The 22,650-nt window shown below is 43.2% G+C and overlaps 1 protein-coding gene across 1 annotated transcript in view; it reads right to left on the bottom strand.

Moving 5' to 3' along the window:
• DNHD1 (dynein heavy chain domain 1) overlaps positions 1-22,650 on the bottom strand; it is a 74,741-nt gene that overhangs the window by 27,250 nt on the left and 24,841 nt on the right. Inside the window, exons 11-20 of the mRNA NM_144666.3 lie at positions 15,984-16,249; positions 15,650-15,893; positions 11,587-11,744; positions 10,598-11,090; positions 6,261-6,388; positions 5,961-6,159; positions 5,458-5,552; positions 4,688-4,895; positions 525-650; positions 100-197 (exon numbers count right to left, since the gene is read on the bottom strand). Of these exons, the coding sequence (NP_653267.2) occupies positions 100-197; positions 525-650; positions 4,688-4,895; positions 5,458-5,552; positions 5,961-6,159; positions 6,261-6,388; positions 10,598-11,090; positions 11,587-11,744; positions 15,650-15,893; positions 15,984-16,249 (2,015 nt within the window). The remainder of the gene's footprint in view (positions 1-99; positions 198-524; positions 651-4,687; positions 4,896-5,457; positions 5,553-5,960; positions 6,160-6,260; positions 6,389-10,597; positions 11,091-11,586; positions 11,745-15,649; positions 15,894-15,983; positions 16,250-22,650) is intronic.

The raw sequence follows: 22,650 nt of genomic DNA, 5'->3' as shown, positions 1-22,650 counted from the left end.
AAGTGAGGGCCAATATGAAGTGGCAGCTCCCCTTTCCCACGCTGAGCCCTGCTATTCAGGAACCCTTCTTGCCCTCTCTGCCTCAACCCCCTTCCCTACCAGGTCAGCATTAGGAAACTGGATCTTCATCTCATGCAGAACTTTATTCAGAAAAATCCACTTCTGCTGGAAAGTCAGCCACACCTCCAGCAGGGCACCTGTGTAAGCAGCCAGAGGAATGCTGGTGGGAAACACTAGGGTTCTACCTTCTGCAGGGGAGTCCACCCTGCTCCTGACCTCTCAGGTACCCCACCAGCCCAAGCAAAATACTCTGCCCAGCAGGACTCAGGGAACTTGCTTGAGGGAGAAAAAACTTTCACTGTGAATAAAAACCTGATCTCTTCATCCCAAGAAACAGCCCTGAAGGAGGTCCTCACTGTGTTCTTCATATCTTCTCCCACCCAACCTCCACCTCTCACCCCCATCCCTCTGGGACATCCTGCCTCAGGTCTCACCCATCAGCCTGGCTAGAGGCCTGCACTTACCCAGGCCATGCATGATGGCCACCCACTCCAAAGCTATTTTGTTTAAATCTCCTGACTTTTCGATGGCCAAGATCTTGGACAACACCTGAAGACTTTCCTGGATGGAATCCTGCAGGTTGCTGTAATCTAAGACAGAAAAAGCTGAACTGGCAGTCAGATGAGGCAAGGGCCGGGGCTGGGGGAGAGAAGAGGAGACCAGGGGAACCTTCCAGGAGAGGCAGTTACAGAGACCCTGATGCCCTTTCTGTCTTTTTCTTTCCCTTTTTTTTTTTTTTTTTTTTTTTTTTTGAGACAGAGTCTCGCTTTGTTGCCCAGGCTAGAGTGCAATGGCACGATCTCAGCTCACTGTACTATGCTTCCTGGGTTCAAGCAATTCACCTGCCTCAGCCTCCTGAGTAGCTGGGATTACAGGTGTGTGCCACCATGTCCGGCTAATTTTTTGTATGTTTAGTAGAGACGGGGTTTCACCATGTTCATCAGGCTGGTCTCGAACTCCCAACCTCAGGTGATCCACCCACCTCAGCCTCCCAAAGTGCTAGGATTACAGGTGTAAGCCACCATGCCCAGCTGCCCTTTCTGCCTTTAAGGATTCCATCAGCCAATATGTAGAGCCAGTAAAGCACTGGGGTCTCAAAATGGTGAGAGAAGAAGCTCCTCCTTTCCCAAGGCACTGTGGGCAGACTCCAGGCCAGCTAATTTCCCTGACTAGCTGCTATGAGTATCCACGTAACTCCATGGAAGTGCTTTGTAAGAACTAGAGCCTCTAGCCCGGGAAGAGGGCTGAATGGCTCCAGGACCCTACGTAATATTTCTATAGCAAGAATGCCCATTCTGTCTTAAAACGGGTCTTGGTAGAGAAGCTGAGAACAAACTTTTCTCTCATAGTCTTAGTGCTTGGCTCCCTGGTGCTGCTTAAAGAGTTATCCCTTCATGCCACAAGTGCTTGGTAAGACTAGGGCTGGAAATGAGGTAGGGACACTAATTGGGGTAAAAATGAGAAGAATCAAGAAAGGAGGTTTATTCAGACACATGTAGGACTCTCCAAACATCCCTGGTGGGAAGAAAACTCATTATCCTGCTCTCAGAGTCACACAACTTCTACTCCACTCTCTAGAGAAAACAGCACTGGACTAATGCTTTCAGCCCCTCTGTCTATCTTCTTCCCTTACTCTTCCCCATGTGAGGAGGCAAAGAGGCCCATCTTTTATGCTCTATGGGATATGAGGCAGGCCACAGTCCTCTACACAGCTACCTGTGTAACTGTACTTCAGCTTTTCTCTGCATATCCACACAGACCTCAAGTTCTCAATTAATTGGGGGAAGATTATGACGAGGTAGCACGAAGTCTCACTTGACCTAGATCCAAGCTGTGTCTGCCAACATGATACATAAAAAGCACAAACTTCCTTGGGGGTGATGGTTCTGATAGTATACTTTCATTTTCATATATATCCTTGTCCTCATTTGGTTAAGAATCTAAAGGGGAGATTAATAATTTGTAGGTGTGCCCAATCCTGTAACAACCTGTCTTCTTGAGGTAAGAATTAAATATATAACAAGTCCATCATTTGGGGTTTATTTGGGTGAACGAAGTCACCAGCTTCATGGTGTGTGGCCACTACAAAGATGTGGTCCTTGGTTAACATGCCCGGAGTTAACAGGAAAAGAAAGCCTGGTACAGAGAAAGGAGAGAACCCATAGGGAGAAACCTCAACCACACAAGTGCTTGGTGCAAATGCTAGCTTAGAGAGAGAAGGGAAAACTGAAAAGGAGCAAAGGTGGAGGAAGGGCTGTGAGCTCAGGAAAGACTGGTAGGACCCAGGCTGGTATCTGAAATTATGCCCACAGGCATCCCAAGGCCCACATTATCCAGAGCCTTTACTTTGTATTACGAATTTTTATTTATTACTTTTAGTAGCAGAGAAATCTAAGGATGAGGCAGAAAAGTGGTAGAGATCAAGTAGGAGCAGACTGGCAAAGTGTGGAACCAGGGTCAGAGATGGGCAAATGGATTAGCATAAAATGTGCTCAGGACAAAAGTGGGAAGACAATCTCCTTTCAATCTTGGTGCAAATGTTAACTGCAGACATCCAGCCTTTGTGTCAGTCCACACCAAAACTTAAGAGTCCTTAATAAGGGCGATGTGAACAAGGGGGCTGGGTGCCATTTATCAATGTGCTGCAAATGGCTGGAAAAGGCACCCCTCACCAAATACTGGATATAAAGAGGTGATAAGGATAAAGAATTTGGGTAATAAGGAACATCTATATTAGAATGGAAAGGACCTACATTCTCCTCTATGCAGAAGTTGAACCAGTTACACATCTTGCCTAGCTGACTTCTGCCTAGCTTGAGTGCACCCACTTTCCTTTCCCCATTGCCACTGTCCTCATCTAGACCACTATTATTTTTCACTTGGGTTATACCAGTCATCCCTTAACTGATCTTTCAATTTCCATTCCTTGCCTCCCTTCAATCCATTCTCCACATTGAAACCAGAATGATATTGTTAAACTAAAATCTAATTATGTTACTACCCACAAAAAACATGCAGTGACCCTCTATTGTTTTCATGTTATTGAGTAAATTATTAATGTGGCCCACAAGACTTTGCATGATCTGATCCTCTCCAGTTCCATCTGCTCCATCCCCTCCTCCACTATTCTTTGGGATCCAGCCACAGAGCGATAGAAGCTCTTTTATTCATGCTCCCCATTCTTACCATCAAATGTACGGACTAAAGCCCTAACTGAACTGAAACTCGCAGATTTCAAGCTATTCTTTACAAGACCCAAACATTTTTGCTTCCACTAGTTAAAGTGTGTGCGCACTAAGAATAAGAGTGTGTTTGCAAATCTATTTATGTGAGTTATGTTGTGATTTTAAGTAAAGAGTTGAATCTAATATTGTAACAACCACTGACACATTGGTGGGGGGAAAGTTGCTGTTTCTATGGAAACCACAGAAAGCTTCAGTAAAGGCAAACTGATTAAACATATGCTATTAGGTATAGGCAAGTCAATTTTTATAAATTGGGAACTTATAATAAAAACCTGGAAAAGTCACATAGAGACAGTGTCTTCTATGTAACTCCCATACTGTCTTAATCTCCTTGGAAGTCCTCTCCCCACCTCCCTCTCTCCACACAGTGCCCAGCTTCTGCAGCTAAGGCCCTTCCCTTCATAAGGACTTTAAAAGTGTCTTCATGTTGCTGCCCAACTTTGCAGAAAGTGAAAGCAGAAATAGTAGACAATACATTAATGCAAGAAAGGCAGTGAGGAACTATCAAATCAAACAAAAGCTCTTGTCATTAGGTTAAAACGTTAGTAAATAAATGTACATGTATGTATTTTAAGCTAAAATAAAAATCTTAAACTATGTATGCATCATTAGTTTTTTGGATTCACCAACTGGGTTCTAGTTGCGTTGAATAAGAAAATTCTCCTCTATTGGCAATGCCCTAGCTATATCATCTTGGATGCTTATGTAAATGCTGTTCCCTTTGTCTGGTCTGCCCTTCTCACCTGGCAAGTTTGGCAAACTCTTACTCCTTCAAAAAGTCAGTATAAGGCCTCTGCCTAAAGAAGACTTCTCTAATTCTCTCTCTGGTTCTTTGAGCTGGTCCTCTCTCTGAGATTCTACTGCCCTCAGTAAGGTGCTCCATTGTGTTTATCCCTATAGTATTGTCTGTCTCTCCTCACTGGACTCAGAAATTTCTGGGGGACAGGGATACTGTCTGTAAGTCTCAAGGTCTCCTGTGTTTAGCACAGAGGAGGCAGGTTTGATGAGGGAGAGAATAAAGAAATGAATTAATGAATAAGGTATAAAATCAGACAGCAGGGTGCAATCTAGAGGACAGAGCATTGAAAGGTGTAGATAACTGACTATGAGGAATTTCTGAGGGTACCCAGAAAGGGGAGGACCTTTGCTGAAGGACCCAGGCATTGAGTAGAGATGGGTGAGGGGAAGGGGATCCCAAGGAGATTAAGACAGTAGGGGGGCTACATGGAAGACACTGTCTCAGAACAGACTAATGTCTTAGGCTGTCTAGTAAGGATGGGGCCCTGGCTAGAGAATCAGATCTGGCAGGCCTTGATGGATATGGTGGATGAAAATGGCCCCCAGCAGGGGGCTTTCACTAGGTCACAAGGTCTGGGTCTCACCTGAGAGGATGAAGGTGCCACTATCTTTGTCCACTACCTCCCATTGGGGGCTGCGGAGCACCTGCCTCTTGGAGCGCTCTGAGGCTGGGGGCTCGTAGGGTACATGCAGGATGAAGTTGAGCAGGCGCAGCTGGCGCGCTTCCCAGTACCGCTGCAACCGCCGTATAGTCTCTTGGGCATGAATTCGTTCATTTTCATTCTGCCAGACCTGGAACAGCTGGGTCTCAGGAACCAGGACTGGGTAACTGCTTCGGGGACAGGCTTGGAGCCGAGACTTGGGGATTGGATCTGAGGCAGAACTCAAGGGCCAGGGCTCAGGAAAGTGGAGGTCTCAGAGATGAAGCGAGAGTGGGACCATCAGGCTTCAAAGATAGGCCATCGGCAGCATCTAACTACCTTGCCCCAGGGCCACTGCTTTGGAACCCCCACCCACTTTTGCAAGGCTCCAACTGAGCAAATACCTCAGTCAGCTCGCACCCTCTGGGGACAAGACAGGTGTTGGGGGGCACCTGCCATTCTGTGTGCCCACAACTTCGGGGCTGCCACCCACTTCCTTCCCCCATCAGGGACATACTCTCAGTCACTGGGAGTCTGGAATCACACAAGAGATCCCCATCTGGAGACTTAAAGAAACTGTTCCTGCCCTTCAGGCAGGTTAGCAGGCTCAACCCCACATTAAATCACATGCCAAACACCCACCACCCTTGACTGGCTTTATTACAGGTCCTGGCTTTGGACCACCTCCCTCGCCCCTGTACTGAGGGCCCCACCTGGTTGATTCGATCTGCAAACTCCAGCAGTGGATAAGTAAGCAGCTGGCCCAGCGTTAGGAGTTCTATAGTTTGGAGACTGCCCAGCCCAAGGGCTGGAGGTAGAGAAAACAAGTCAGAGCAACACCCAGTATGTGGCAGAGTCCAACCCATATCCCATATCCCAGAGCCCAGCCCAGCCCAGCCCAGCTCAGACCCCAGATAGCAGATCTCAGAGCACAACACAGAGCCAACAGCTTAGAACTCAAGGTCTAGAGCACAACTCAGAGCCCAGAGCTAAGGCCCCAGCCCAAGCCCAGCCACCATCAGCAGAGAGGAGGTAGTAAGGGAAGTTAAAAATTTTTGTCCCAGTTAAGGAAAAGAAATTGAAATATGTGGGAAAGGTAGGGAGAAACTTGGGGATGAAAGGTGTTTCCAGCAGGAGCAGCAGGAAACTGAGTTGCTGCATCGCTCTAACCTCACATATTTCCCTTTCCCCCTCCTCTGACATTAACCAAACATACCACGCAGGAGACACTGGCAGTTGAGGCTCTGTGGGTGGAGGCTGCCCAGCTTAGTGAGCAGGGGCAGGTAGCTGCGAAACTCCCCCAGGATGCGCATGCAGTGCTGCAGCACGGGGCTGTGCAGCTCCAGGGTTGTGCTCATCCGTGCTGCCTCTGTCAGCCAGCCCTCTGTCTTCTCCTGGGCCATAGCTGGGCTGAACTGCAGGGAGAAGGGCTCACTGTCAGCTTGAGACTCTTCCCCTCCCCCACCACTGTAGTCCTCCACTCCCAGTCAAGAGCTCCAAGGAAGGGTGTCAGCACCTTGGCAAAAGCCATGCACTTCCACTCGCTGATGTTTTCGGAGATGACTCGGTACAGGTGCCATATGCGCTGCTGCTGCACAATAGGACGTGTCCCACAGATTGGCAAGGGCACAGGAGTCTCATCCTCTGTGGGGGAGGGCTGACTTGAGACCTGGGCTACTTGCAGTGTTGGGAGGGGGGTGGTGGAATGATCAGTCAAGAGCCCATAATGACAGAAGGTAGGGTCCAGAAAGTGATGGTTGGGGGTGGGGGAGGTGGAGTTCCAAATTGTTTGGCTCAACAATGGAGGTGGGGTTAATCCAAGGAACAGTTACTCCAGGGAAAGACCATCTGGGAAAATGTGATGGCAGTGAAAGGGAAGAGTTCCTCTTTAATTAGTCTCCATCTCATTCACTCCATTCTAGTGACACTGGACGCTTTACTATGGCTGAGATGCACCAGATATGCACCCTCCTGCTAAGGGCCTTTGACTAGCAGTCTATTCTTTCTGGAACACTCTTCCTTCAGAGAATCACATGGCTCATGCCCTCACCAGCTTCAAGTCCTTGTTCAAACAAACAGCATCTTCTTTTTTTTTTGAGACAGAGTCTTGCACTGTTACCTGGGCTGGTGTGCAGTGGCGTGATCTCGGCTCACTGCAACCTCTGCCTCCCGGGTTCAAGTGATTCTCCTGCCTCAGCCTCCCAAGTAGCTGGGAATACAGGCGCACACCACCATGTCAGGCTAATTTTTGTATTTTTAGTAGAGACAGGGTTTCACTATGTTGGCCAGGCTTGTCTCGAACTCCTGACCTCGTGATCCGCCCGCCTCGGCCTCCCAAAGTGCTGGGATTATAGGCATGAGCCATTGCGCCTAGCCAGACAGCACCTTCTTAATGAGGCCTATGCAGGCTATCTGGTTAAAAATTCCTAGCTACCCTTCCCGGCATTTTCAACCCCTCTTACTCTGTTCTATTTTTTTTTTTTCTCTATCACTTATCACTTTCTTATATACTACAGAATTTGGTTATCATCATTGTTTATTGTCTTTCTCTCCCAACTAGAAGTTTGGGTCCATTAAGAAAAGCATTTTATCATTTGTTCACTGATGTACCTCAAGCCTAGTGTACACAGCAGTCTCTCAACAAATATGTGTTGAATGAATGAATGAATGAATGAGCGAATGAACTGTCAGCCCAAAAGAAAGTTCAGCAAGATGAATATAAAAAAGATCTGGCCCACATAGAGGACCTGTCATGTTTACCTCCGGCCATTATCCTCCACCCCTTCATCTCACAGGGTACTACATTAGTTCTTAATCAGTTACTTATAGTCAGTTGTGAGATAAGTGTCAATAGGAATTTATAATTAACAATAATTATAATATCGAGGTTTGCAATTTACTTAAAAGACAACAGATATCTCATTAACTTGAACTCCAGTTTACTTTCTTGAGTGGGACAAAAAGTGATAGAGTCACACCCAAATGCTGGGCCTCATGCATCTTACACATGTGCACATCATCCATTTTGGAGATCTCAGAGTATTAAAAAGCTGGAATCACTAGGCTATCAAAGCTCTGATCTGACAAAAAGTAAAATGACAGTAAATCTAAACTCTTCCAGTCTTTGTCTAAACTCAAAGATATGGCTAGAGTCCCATACAATCTTTGACAGCAGTTGTTTCAACATCAAATATTAGACAAATAAACAACTTCATCTGTAAGAAAGAGCAGAGATATCATCTCCAAACACATGAAAAGATAAAGACAAACTGGGGATTAAGAGCAAATGTCCTTTGACAGACATTTTGTGATATCTACTTGATAATTTCCATGCATTTTAAAACTTTTTATCTGAAAATGAGTTCCAATCTTCAAAGTTGTAGGAAAAAGTAGTAAAAAAAAATTGTGTACCTTCTATCTTCCATAGGTATAGATATATATCTATACTGTTTATCTTTGCCTTTTGTTGACATTTTACCCATTTGCTTTATCATTTGCATTCACATGCTCTGTGCATGGGCATGTGTATGCACATATACACACACACAATTTTTTTTTCTGAACTATTTAAGGGCAAGTTACATAAATACTCAAGTATGCATTTCCTAAGAGTAGGGATATTCTTTTATATAACCACAGTGCAATTCCAAATTTCATATATTATATTGATACAATATTTTAATCTACTGTCCATATTTCAGTTTTGTCAGTTGACCTAATAATGTCCTAGATTGCATTTTTTGCCTCAATTATAGCATCTGGTCCAGGGTCAAGCACTGCATTTGTCATGTCTCTTAGTTTCTTTTAATCTGGAACATTTCCATAGCCTTTCTTTCTTTTGTAACAGACATCTTTGAAGTATACAGTCCCCTTTTGCCATTTTTTTTGTTCATAGAAAGTTCCTCATGTTGTGTTTTTATGGTTTTTAAAAATGATACTCATTCTCAGCTGGACTACTACATAAGTGATATTGTATCCTTCCTTCTCCAGTATCACATCTGAAGGCAGATCATGTCCCTATGTCCTTCATTGGTGATGTTAATTTTTAATCACCTGGTCAAATTATTGTCTGATTTCTCCACTAATTGTTGTTTCTTTTTCTTTCTTTCTTTTTTTTTACAACAAATAAGTGATCTCTGGGAGAAACTCTCAAAGACAGTGCAAATATTCTGCTCCTCATCAAATTTGCCCTAGATTTGGCATCTGTTGATCCTTATCTGATCTGGTAATTACCATGATGGTTGCAAAATAATAATTTTCCCACTCCAGCCTTCCTTCCACATTTATGCCAGTCAGCTCCTGGCATTTTACTGTAAGCATGAGTCCTCATTTCTCTCTCATTATCTATTTATTATTACTACGCATAATAAATGCCTTTACTTCAATAGCTTAGAATTTATTATTGTACTTACTTTGGTGATCAAATTGTTCCAGATTTAGCCAGTTGGTATCCCTTCTGAATCCTTGTGATATGCTCCCATCACTTTTTTAAACACTTTAATACTTTCTTACTTTCTGGTATAAAATGACACTTTAGGTTCATCTTGTACCTACCCTGCCACAGCCCTGGAATCATCCATTTCTCTAAGGAGCTCTGGTTCCTTTTAATGGGGAATGGTGTTTGTTAGAAACTAAGACCTGAGCACAATGTGGCTTCTTGCTACTGGGGTTTCTTTGCTTCATGTCCTCTTCAGCAGATAGAGATAGCAAATGTGTGCACATGTATATACACATAAACACACAGTTACATGCGTATACATGTGTACATAAGCATGCATACACATGCAAAATGTGTGTTTTAAAATGCAATAGAAATACAAAGTGATACCATAGGAAATGGAAGCTTATAAAACAAGCTCACAACATTTTTCCAGAACTCAGAGAAAAAGAATAAAGGAATGACTGATGATAAAGAAGATAAAAGCAATGAGTGAGAGAGATTCAGTAAATCCAACATACATATAAGAATTCTGGAAGGAAGGCCAGGCGCAGTGGCTTACACCTGTAATCCCAGTGCTTTGGGAGGCTGTGGCAGAAGGACTGCCTGAGTCCAGGAGTTCAAGACCAGCCTGAGCAACAAAGTGAGTCCTCATCTCTACAAAAAATACAAAAATTAGCCAGGCATGGTGGCACACACCTGTAGTCCCAGCTACTCAGGAGGCTGAGATGGGAGGATTGCTTGAGCCTGGGAGGCTGAGGCTGCAGTGAGCTGTGATCATGACACTGCACTCTAGCCTGAGATCCTGTCTCCATTGTTTGGTAATGGCTCTTATATTTGCTCTGGTCTCCTTCCAGAGCCCACAGAGTTCTTTAAGAACAGAAGGGAACCAGCTTACCTGCACCACTGTATGAAAGAATTGAGACCAATAGTTCTGTCCTGGCCTCCTCCTGTGTATTAGTGAGGCCCTCAGTAGCCTCCTCTCTATACCACACTGGCTGGAGGAAGTGATCTGCTAGAGCATCAAGACCTACTCTTGTTCGGGGCCTGCTGCCTGGTGTAGGACTGTGTTGAACAGGGCTACAAAAAGGCTACGTTCTATAAGGAGAACTTACATTTCTCCCACACATGCTTTTAGCCCCTGACCCCATCACATTCTGATGGAACATTCACTTGTTTGCCTTCCTTACCAGACTGTGAGCCCCCATACCCCCACCCTAAGCACAACACCTGCCATGGTCAATATATGATGTTTTTGTCCTGAAATTTTCATTTATAAAAGACACCAGTGAAGGTGTGTGATTCCCAAGGCTTGCTTGGGGTCATACAGGACACAGAACCCTGAGTTCCAACTCTTACTTCAGTTGAAGGGTCTATCACAGAGTGATAATGGAGGGTGCAGGGATCCTCAGTACCAGTGAAGATGGCATAGGCGTGGTGCAGTTCACTGAGGTCGCTGACTGTGTTCTGGAACTGACGCTCTAGGGAGACGAGCTGGTGCTCAGTACTCCTCTGATCTTGTGTGGGGTCCATAAAGGGACCGGAGAGGGCCTTCGCAAGCAGGCCTTCCAGCTCTGCCAATGCTGCTGCCATCAGCTGCTGCAGCTTGGGCATAATGGCATGTCGCTTGCTGAGCAGGAACTCTGAAGCCTGGCTTTTCTCAAACTGAAATGCCTCCCACATATCCAGAAGCTGTGGGGCAAGCAGAGGGCAGTGGAGTAGATGTGGTTGTGGGGGAGGAGGGCAGGGAGGGATGGGTGACTCCCCGAATTGCCTTCTCACCGAGATGTCCAGTGCTTCATTCTCAGCACTAAAGAGGCTAAAGTGGTTGCGGATGAGTTCGTGGAGTGCCCGTACGTATTCCATTCGCTCCTCCAGCTCGACGTACTGTTCATTGGCTTCATTCAACTGCAGGAATTACAGCATGAGACCGGCAGCCCCACAACCCCATGTACCTCTTTGGTCCCATCCCCAAGGGGAACTCCCACCTTTTGGAGTGAAGTCTCCAGACCCAGTTGCAGCCTTGTAATCAACTGGAATCAGGGGCAATCTCTCCTGAGGGATCTCTCCAGAGGGATCAAATCTCTCTCTGACCCAGATCTCTCTGGTGAAGGGTCCACTTCTCACCCACCACCCCATTACCTTGATGACAAGGCAACAATTTTCTATCTGACTGTCACAGAGAGCACAACTCTCTCATCACACCAGGGCCTCCCTGTGACATGAGGAACCTGAGGGCCACATGGACAGGGTAAGAATTAGCAAGGGTAGATCTCTTAGGCGAGCACAGTTTAAGAGCATCAAGCTCTGCTGGGGGCTCAGCAGAGACCTGAAGAGAGTGTGCTGAGCTTTTGAGCAGGATGGGCCCTGAATAAACTGGGAAGGATGGATGGGGAGAGCCCACCTTCTGGGTGCACTGTGCAATGGCATGAATATCTGAGTTGATGGTTCGGAAGATATGCATGAAATCTGTGAGCTCTGTCATGAGTTGTTGACTGAGGTTCCAGCACTCATTTTGCACGTGTGCAAGAATGTCCTTCCTTATGCTGTTCAGCTTGGATTCTGGAGACAGGAGAGTAAGGTGTGAGGGGACGCATAAAAAAGAAGGGGTGCTGGGGACAGTGCTGTGGTCCAGAGTGGGAGTAGGCTGAATGGCAGGTCAGACCATGAATTATCTCATTTAATGCTTGTTGAATCCCTGCTCAATGTCCAGTCAGCTGCTATGCACTGGGGACTGTGCTCTATACTGGTAGACGAGAGCAAATGAATGAGACAGAAAGTTTCCCCACCCTGAAAAGCTCACAATATGAGGCAGAGACAGACATACAAATGAGCAATCACAAATCAGTGTGATAAATCCACTGTGAGTGCCTGGAGCCTTCAGCCAGTATAGCTAAGAGGTGGGGGTGCCGGGGGGTATCCTGAGAAGGCTGGGCAAGGCCCCTTCAGAGAAGGGAACACTGGAGTTGGATGTGTTGAGTATTAATTCTCCAAAAAGATGAAACAGTGTGTGCAACAGTATGGAAATGACATGTTTGTGAATAGCAGAGTATCCTAGCAGACATAAAAGTATTCTGGTTTTGGAGTCTTACTGCCCTTGCTCTAGAAGAAGGGGACCAAGAAGGTAGTATGATCTGCCTTTTGTTTTTAAGGATTAAAGTAAAGAAAGTCTCAGGTGGATAAGGGGCTAGAAAGTAATCCTGGAAGCTGCCCTTGGCAGTATGAACAACTTTATTATCTCAGAGGGCAGGGATAACACCCATATGATACCTCATAAAATCTAAGATCCCGTTGTAAGAAGCACCATTATTTTATATACCACTAACAAAGAAAAAAAACTGATGCCATCTAAACTCTAACACATCTTCAATCATGAGACACCTTTAAAGTTCAGAGATGTTAAAATATGCACAGAATAGGAAAAATACAATATAGAAATATGGTACACCAAATAGAGTATAGAGTGCTTTCTACATACCAGACACTATTTCAAGTACTTTAATTATATTTTATCCTCACAAATTCCCTTTGAAGTAAATACTATTATTTTACAGATAAGCAAACTGAAGCTCAGAGAGGTTATGTCACTTGATCAACATCACACAGTGGCAGAGCAAGGATTCAGACTCAGGCAGCATGGCTCCACTTCATTATATTTTAAATATAAACATGTTTATGTTATAAATATAAATGTAAACATAAAAATATATGTTTATAAAAAGTATTTAAAAATATTTTTTATGTTATGTGCAAAGTAAACTGACCGATCCTCTATTAGCATCTCTGCAACTAGTAAGTAAAATAGTGAGTTTGGGGGACAGATAATTGAGACATACTGGGTATGTCACTTTCAGAGACTTGGAGGAAGTAACCAAGATGACTGGGTACTAAGACCTGATAATAAGAAAACCTGCTGAGAGGAAGCCTATTGAGGGACAACCTATATCAAACAGAACATGAAGATCTAAACTCATCCTTTTTCACACTGTCCCTTTGGAACATAACAGTAACTAGGCCATTGCAATGCTGCCACATTTGTTTGCTTGTTTGTTTGTTTGTTTGTTTATGGTGCTGCTTTTGGACCAGTAGCAACAGGCAGATGAAGGCAGATGGGAGCTCAACAGTGACACCGTATGGTATAAAGGAGCAATGCATTGATAAAATACCAGGACTCCTTGGGATTAGAAGCTGGAGATGGATAAAAACAGATTTAAGAGATACTTAGGGGGCAGAAGAATGACAAGGATTTGGAGACAGGTTGGATGTAGTAAGGTCAAGGAGAGGGAGGAGTAAAGGGTGACCCCAAGTTTCTGGTGAAGCTAATTCGTCAGAGTGTATAATTACGCCATTTGTTGTTCAAGGGAGTTCAGGAAGAAGAGAAACGACAGAGTTAAGTCAGAGGGTTAGATAAAATTAGATCAGCAAGAAGGATGAGAGTAGATACAAGGGGATAAGGTGAAATGAAAAAAATATTAAGCACCTACTGCATGCCACACTCAATGCTAAGAGTATTGCAAATAATATCTTAGTCATCCTTACTATAACCCTGTGAGTGACTGTGTTATCATGCCCAGCTTACAAATAAAGAAACTAAAACACAGTAATCTGAAGTTACAAAGCAAGTGAAAAACAGACAGGGTTCTAAATCCAGTGCTCATTTCTCTCCACCTGCTCCTCTTAAAGAGACTAGTTGGTCCTGGATTGAGGATCAGGAAGCTAACAAACTAGAACAACAATAAGCTTTCTCAGCAGCAGTGAAGTAAAGCCTGACCAAAACACGGCCAGAGAGAAGACAAAACAATCAAACGTCCTCCCGGTTCCTGCCTTGCCCGCCTGAACCCCCTGTACAAGAGGAGGGAGTTTTAGTGGCCCACTGGATACCTAATGATACATGTGCTTTCATCTGTTGAGAGCCAAGACAGGGAAGGCGAAGCAAGCAGGGCATACAAGCAAACTCTTTCCAGGCCCCAGTGGCTTCTAACCTTCATAAAGAAAGCAGGCCTGGGAAGCCACGGGTCCAACAGGATCTAGTCTTCACAGGAAGTAGATACTATTGGCTATTGCCATCCTTGAGGCTAGGTGAGGAAAGAGAACAACCTCCATATTTCCTAAAAGAACAAATCACTGGCTTCCAAATCTACCCCGCTGTGAGCCTCTCTGTGGCGAACTCCTAGGCTGAGGCACTAGCTAGTACACAATAGCATGAGATATCCTTCCCATGGGAAGGAAGAAAGAAAAGAGGGTAAAAGACTAGGTCATAAGCCAGATTTCTCAGAGACCCAGGGATAGCAACAATTGGGCGTTCAATTAGCAGGGGTAGAAGTGGCAAGAGGAGGGAACCTGAGATGGGTTGAGGAGAAAATAGGTAGTAGAATGGTCTTGAGCCCCACTTTCCACATAGAACTTTGGGAAAGACCACCTTTTAGGGTGTCCCTTGCTAACATGAAACAGTCACAGCAGAGTAGAAATCATACTGTTATGTGTTGTAGTAAAAAGAGGGGCGGATATAATGCTTACCAGTTTCCCACAACTCCCAAATGGCAGGGGATATAGATGATAGCAGAGAATTGATAGCCAGTGGCCTAGATGAAGTTCCTGTGTTGAGGGGCTAGGGACCCTGAAGCAAAAGCCATGGGGGTAGCCAGCCTAAGACAGAGACTGGATGAAGGATTCACTAAAACCCCAAGGATCAGCTATGCCAGCAAATGTTAAGACAAGGACAGGTCAGCAAAGACAGACACTCCAGGTCCCTATTAGTCCAAGAAAACACATCGCAGCTCTACCAGCCCAGGACACAGCAGCACCAGAAGCAGCAATGTCAGGAGGGCAGAGACCAGGCAAGGATGTATCACACCTCAGAAGCCAGCCCACCGGCCTTCCCCAGTACAGGTGGCACCTTGGGAAGGAAAAGGGAGGAAAAGACATTTGAAAGTAAAAACAACCCAGAACTACAGTATAAATTTTCAATTGCCCAGATATCCCAAATAGACTGAATCAGACCAAAAGTGACTGCTTTAAATGAAAGGAGCTTTCTTTAATTGGAAAGGTTACATTCTTTCACTACCAGTAGAAGTTAGGACTACAGAGTAAGACAAGCTCAGTTAGAGAGTAGCTTTTTACATATGCAAATCGTAGTATAAATTTCACTCAGCTACATGCAGAGAGAAAGCACCCTAGATTCCCAAGAATCTCTGTAAAGACACTGAGCTTAGTAGCCCAAGCACAGGAACATGATTCCTAAGGAATACAGGGTATGAGCAGAGCCAAAACAGAGAGGCCGGCCTTTGCAGTGAGCATAGCTTTGATGGCAAAGGAAAGGGCCTGGGACCTCGGGCTTTGGAAGGCTTCATAGGTCCAATAAGAGGCCTGCACCGAAGGTCTCCGGAGGACATTCCAGGACCAAGGCAGGCCATGTGAATAGACATACAGAAAAGGGAAGGAGGAGAGGGAAGAGAAGCAGTACTCACCCATCTCTGCCTGTACATCATGGCAGCTAAGTAGCAGCAACCCGCCTTTTGTGAGCAACTCGATAGGCATACTGGAGACACGGGCCTGCCAAACATTCAGGCGGCTCACCAGCGTCACGTAGTTCTTGATGGGACCACCTCTCATGTCTTCCAGCTTCTGAGGCCCCCAGGATTGCAGGAATTCATAAATGCCTGTTATCCAATGATGTTCCCTGCAGAATTCCTGCACCTTGCACAGCACGCCCTAAGGGCAGACAAGGTGTTTAGGGCAGAGGCATGCGGCTATAATGGGAATTGGTGGGCAGCGCCCTATCCCTTAAACCACTGTTCTCACCTCCAGCAGCACCTGTTGTATATTCAGTGCCTGCTGGATCTTAGGGTTGTTGTCCAGGTCTTCCTCCAGCTGCTTATAATTGTGGGGGAAGTATTGGCCCCGCAGCCGACATCCACGGACCTCCAAGATACCAGCAATTGGGTGAGACTTCCAGGGCCACACCAATCCCACATTCGGGCCACAGAAGATGCTCACAGCATCGCTGGGCTGGCCCTGGAACTTGGGCATCAGAAATTCGTCTTTTGAGTCCTCCTCTTCATCTTCTTCTAGTGGAGCACAGGCCATAATTGTCCGTGAGTACCCTCCAGAGCCCACAAACAATCTTCCTTTCTCCTTGCCCTCAGTGTGTGTACACACACACACACACACACACACACACACACCCATTCGCTGCTCATGAGTGAGTTAACACATACATCTATATCACAAACGTAAAATACTAGACCCATGGAGGGGATTTATTAGTTAGGGTTCATGTGCAAATAACATAATTTACTCTAGCTAGTCTAAGCAGGGAGGGACTTATTACAGAATATTAAATGGGTTGCAGAATAATAGGAGAGCTAAAATACAAAACCACTCAAGGTTGAGCATCTAGGGCTGTGTTCTGCCTGGCAAAATGGGATATCACTGTCACACCATCAACTACAGAACACACTGCCTCTGCTATGATCCACAGAACGGATGGCATACGCCCTGACTCTTTCCCCCTCTTAATTCAATTCTGAATCAAAGTCTTTTGTAGATCTAACTGGTGGATCCTAAATTGTATATGACACCTAGCTGCAGGCGAGTCTGGGAAGTGTAGTTTGTAGTCTCTGGCATCTGCAGAACAGAGGAGTTGCTGGGAATGAATATTGAACATGCCAGTCCTCAGTTATCTGTCTTAGAGAATATTCTTGAACCTAGCCACTCATTAACTCTTTAGGAACTGGTTAATTGACAAGTTTAGTATTTGTGTTAAAACTTCGCACAAAATAAAGGAAAGAATTAAAATGTTCAGAATAAGAGCCATACTATCCACACCCAAACCCTGTAGTACTCCTAGCTGATCTCTTCTCTTCTCCAACTGTACTCACTCTCTAGGAAATCTCATCCAGCTTTATGGCTGTAAGTACCATATATTTGCTCCCAGATTTATCTGTAGCCCAGATCTCTCACTTAACTCCAATCCCATTTAAAGAACTGCCTAATTCACTTCTCTATCTGGATGTCTAACATGCACCTCAAATTTAACAGAGCCAAAATGAACTCTAATTCCTCCCCGCCAAAACTGCAGTCTTCCAACTTCAGTAAATGGAAACTCTGTTCTTCCAGTTTCTCCAGTCAAAATCTTTATAGTCACCTTTGACTCTTTTTCACATACAACACATCCCATTTAAAAATCCTGTTGTCGTTACTTTAAAAATATATCCAGAATCCACCAATTCTCACCACATTGACCACCACCTGCCCTCCTCCCCCAGCCCAAGTCACCATCATCTCTTACTGCATTATTGCAAAAGCCTTCTAACTTTTCTACCTGCATTGGCCCTTGCCTCCTATACTTTACAGTCTCTGCTCCATATAAGAAAAAGAATCATCCTTTAAAAAAAATGCCAGAAGGGATTCTGAGAAGATGATGGCAATGGCAGCATCATTTTGAAATCTCCCCCAAATGCCCACGTAAAAATGACAGAACAATTAGATAATAAAACCAAAAACACAAGGATAGCATTTTTTAACAAATGAGGGCAAGGGATCCTCACAGATCCTAAAATACAAGTAGGTGGGGTCAAACCATCTGCAACCTCAAAACACACATGGCATCACCATTTGTGATGAATGATGCAGAGGGAAACAATGAAGCAACAGATGGACCTAAGAATAAGAAAACCCCCAAACAGTCATCAAGCATTTACTGGGAGGCAGAGGGCCCATTTCAGAACAGCAGGTAAAACTGGAAGGGGGTCTTACCCCCTCCAAGAACAGGTGAGGTAAGGTCTATAGAAGCTTAAGTAATCTATGCCCTGTGTACTCTTGAAACCAAACAGTCAGGGCTCCCTTTTGGGACAGAGCTCGTCATGGAGAAAATGCTGGGAGTAGAATAAGGATTGAGCAGCAATAGAGAAAAAGGAAAAGTCTAGATGAAGGTAGGGGAGGGAAACCAGAAAACCTCAGAAAGTAAGCCATCTTTTTTTAATACAGAAAAACAATAGAAAGTGAAACTTAGAGGTTAGAGAACTATTTTGAACCAAGTCTTCTTTTGAAAGTTAAGAAAAGCTAAAATTTCCAGTTTTCTATGAGCAGTAGAAAAGTATCAGCATCAAACCCCATACCAAGCTTTTATAAGAAAAAAACAAAGCGAGGCATAGAATAAATCCCCAGAGACAATGAAAGCATGTCAAAAACCAGAGCAAAACTATAGCCTATTTCAAAACAAGCTAAAAGACAATAGAAAAATGATAGAAGTCATGAGAGGACACATATCAGAATTAGAAAAACTCAGAAATTATGTGACAGAACTATGGAAAGAATTATAAATGAAAGAAAAAACAATTTCATAATGGAAATTTAACTAAAATGGGACATAAGAGCAAACAAACTCGACAGATAATTTCTCAAGAAAAATAGAAGGCAAAATAAGGGTAATTATACAACTAAAAAGGAAATAAACAATTTTAAAGATTTCAAGAGAAAGGGAAAAATATTGGGGATGGGTGATAAGGATCTAATGTATCAGTAACAAGATTCCCCCAAGAAAAAAACAAAGCAAGGGAAGAGAACAAATATTAAAAACCGTAATTCAGAAAAATTGTTCTGAAATTTAAAAAAAGATATAAAGCCACATTTTGAAAGAACATACCTGACAATCCTTCCCCAGAATGTTCAATACCAACACATATTCTAACAAAAATAACTAGATTTCAATAAAAAAGAAAAAAAATCTAGGCAAAAAGAACAAGTGATTTTGTAAAGCAAATAAAATTAGACTATCGAAGGCTTTTTGATAGCAACTCATAATGTCCTAAGAAAACATAGTAACATATTTAAGATACACAAAGGAAAAAAGTATAAACCAACAACTTTATATCCAGCAACACTAACTTTCAAAAGGTACAAATTGTTATCAACATAGAAGAACTTCAGAATTTTGTCCCTACAAGCCCTTCCTGAGGAATTTAGTAAAAAGTGACCTTCAGACAAACAAAATTACTAGAAAGACATCAACACAAGGGCTGCTAGTGGGCTTAAAGATATTGTTACTTACAGAACTAAGATTAAGTGAGGGATAGAAGGGAAAGAGTATAGTATGAAATGACGATGTAGAGAATGCTGGTGATTATCTTGCTTGCCAGGTGGACAGAGCCTACCTGAAGAATGGAACTCTGAAGGTACATTGGTTGATTACTCAATAGCTATTCCCTTCTCCCTTCCTCTATTGTTGTAGAACCATCTCCCATGAGACACTGAGAACGTCAGCCATTTGATTTCCTAGCCTATCTTACAGCTAGAGGTAGACAGATGACGCAGATTTTGATGGTGAGATGTAAAAGTGAGTCTGATGGGGAGTTTCCGGAAAAGATTCCTTTTCCTGGCAAAAAGTGAGAGTCAGACACAGAGCTCTCTTGTTAACCTTGCCTCTCCTTTTCTGCCTGATTTTGCTTGAGAATGGGATGCTTGACATTGCAGCTTGTCTTGCAACTATGAGGCAACAAGCCTGAGAATGAAAAAACAAAAAAAATGAAAACCACTTTATTGTGGCCTCCTCCGCCACACATAACTCTCTTACAGAATCTGCTCTTAAATATAGCTAAAAGCAGGAAAGAGTGATGGAAAGATACAAAGAACCTGGTACTTGATGACCACTTTTGAGCCACAGAACAAACTCTGGAAGCACCTACTTCAAGACTTCTTGTTTTGTTTTGTTTTATTTTGTTTAGGCCACTGCAGCTGAATCTAGCTGCATCATGAATTTTTTAGTTATAGGTGCGTACGTAGTTTTGAGTTAAGATTACTTAATCCAAAATCAACCCCCATACTCAGGCCCATATAATAGACGTTTATAGCCAAACACAAGCATAGCTGAAGACTGCAACCTCCCCCACCATACACAGCCTTCTAAGAGGATCTACCCTTGCCTATAGCTAAAAGCCAGTTATTTTGCACCATGACACATCCCCTTGCCATAGCTTATGAATAAAGCATGCAATCTACAGGAGAAGCTGAATCAATCATACTCCTTGTCTTGAAGTTTGAACTAAATCAGTCTCACGGACAGGAAAACTCAAATATCATATAAAGTCAAGGATGGAGTCGGTGTCATAAAAAGTTTAAGTTATTTGAAAGAAGTAGTTATAAGGGAACAGAAAGTCCAAAGGAAGGAGAGATAACTGGACTCAGGAATCAGGGCAGAGGAACTGGAAAGATACACAGAGAGAAGAGATGAAAAAAGGGATAAGCAGAAATTTGAGAGACAGGGGTTCTCTTCCTGATATTCTACTTTCAAATTCTGTGAAGATGGGTGCTGTTACTTCTTCTCTACCTTTGAAGTTAGTAATTGTCTGTTTTGTGAGCTCCAAAATATAAGACAAGCTTGAAGAGCAGTGATTCTAGGTGCCAAGACCTATGAGAGTGCTCAGGCAATATGGTGCTATACAAAGTCAATTGTGATTCCAAGCAATGGAAAGAAAAGCTAGTCTATTTTTAATGGAATTTGGTAAAAGAACATACCAACAAAACAAAACAAAAATCACTAACTTCATAGCCAAGGTAAGAATGAAATAAACTTTGCTTATAATGAGAAAATTTTTTTTAAATTTTAGATTTGGTATCTCTGTCACCCAGGCTGGAATGCAGTGGTGTGATCATGCCTCACTGCAGCCTCAAACTCCTGAGATCAAGCAATCCTTCCACCTCAGCCTCCTGAGTAGCTGAGACTACAGGTGCACACTACCATGCCTGGCTGATTTGTAAATTTTTTTGTAGAGACAGGGTCTCACTATGTTGCTCACACTGGCCTCAAACTCCTGGCCTCAAGTAACTCTCCCACTTTGGCCTCCCAAAGTGCTGGGATTACAGGTGTGAGCCACTGTGCCTGGCCATAAGAAGAAATTTGAAATCAACTAAATCAAAGGAATGTAATTTACCTGCCATTTCTAAGGGATTTGGGGCTTCAATTGAAAATTTATATGTATTGATATAATACATATGAGTCAACATGGAGTTGAATTTTAAAATATCAATCCAACTTGAAAGGCTTCAATGATACAGATCTTTACTATAGGTTTCCTTGAATGAGTGACTCAGACATTCCACACAGAGCAAAGCTTCTTGTTAAACATATTTATATGACTCCTCATACCTCCAAGGTTGCTTTCTCACAGAGCGGCAAGGAAAAAAAAATCTTTCCTTCTCTCTCATCTATAAATCTACTCACAGTCACACTGCTTCCCTCTATACTTCCTCTTCCTAGTCCTACTGCTCATACCTCATACTCCAAAGAGACCTTCCCTGTGCAGTCCCCTTGCAAAAATCACAGTTTTCATATTTTTGCATTGTATCTCCAAGCTAATTTCAGGCATCCCAACCAAAACGTACATCAAGAGATTATATAATTAAAATTAGGCAATCCTTTGTCTCTTTTCAGTGTAACAGATTTATCTTACCACAAATATCAAAAAGTTATTCCAATCTTGGTAGGATATTGCCATACTAAAGTTTAAGGTTTTTGAATCTGACACCTGACAGATGAGAAAAGTGATTAGCTGATCGTGCTTTCTGAGTTTTGAACTGCAGAAAACTTCCGATAAAATTGTAAGGACATCAAATAGTAACAGTAATACTCTCTTGTTTAGTTGTAAAATGTTCTCTGGAAAATATTGGAGAACGCCGTTTAAGACTGGAGAATATGTTGCAACTATTTTATTAATAATATCCTGAGTATTCTTTTAGTGATTAGAATCTAGTCAATGTATACATTTCTATTGAAAAGGGGTTAATTTTCATACTTTTGTGTGTAAGTGGGGCTATTGAAATTATTTTGTAATTTAGTTAAAAGGCCATACAAATTTTGCCTCATTTAAGTAACAGTTTTCTCAGTTGGATGTATGTTTCTTAAAGACTACTATTAGTGTTTTAACTGCTACTTATTTACCTGTATTCAAAATTTATTCCATTTTTTAAACTTTTATTTTAGATTCCGGGGTACATGTGCAGGTTTGTTATATAGGTAAACTCCTATCACAGGAGTTTTTTGTACAGATTATTTCATCACGGTACTAATCCTAGTACCCAATAGTTGTTTTTTTCTGTTCCTCTCCTTCCTCTCACCCTCCACCCTTAAGTAGGCTCCAGTGTCTGTTGTTCCCCTCTTTGTGTCCATGAGTTCTCATCATTTAGCTCCCACTTATAAGTGAGAAAAACAGTCACAACAAAAGCAAAAATTGACAAATGGGATCCAGTTAAACGTAAGAGCTTCTGCACAGCAAAAGAAACTATCAACAGAGTAAACAGACAACCTACAGAAGGGGAGAAAATATTTGCAAACTATGCATCTGGCAAAGGTCTGATATCTAGCATCTATAAGGAACTTAAACAAACTTACAAGAAAAAAAAAACAGCCCCATTAAAAAGTGGGCAAAGGACACGAACAGACACTTTTCAAAAGAAGACATACATGCGGCCA

The sequence above is a fragment of the Homo sapiens genome, chromosome 11, assembly GCF_000001405.40.
Source record: "Homo sapiens chromosome 11, GRCh38.p14 Primary Assembly".
Classification (NCBI taxonomy): domain Eukaryota; kingdom Metazoa; phylum Chordata; class Mammalia; order Primates; family Hominidae; genus Homo; species Homo sapiens.
Note: the sequence above shows the minus strand (reverse complement) of the source record. Positions and strands in the feature narration are given on the sequence as shown.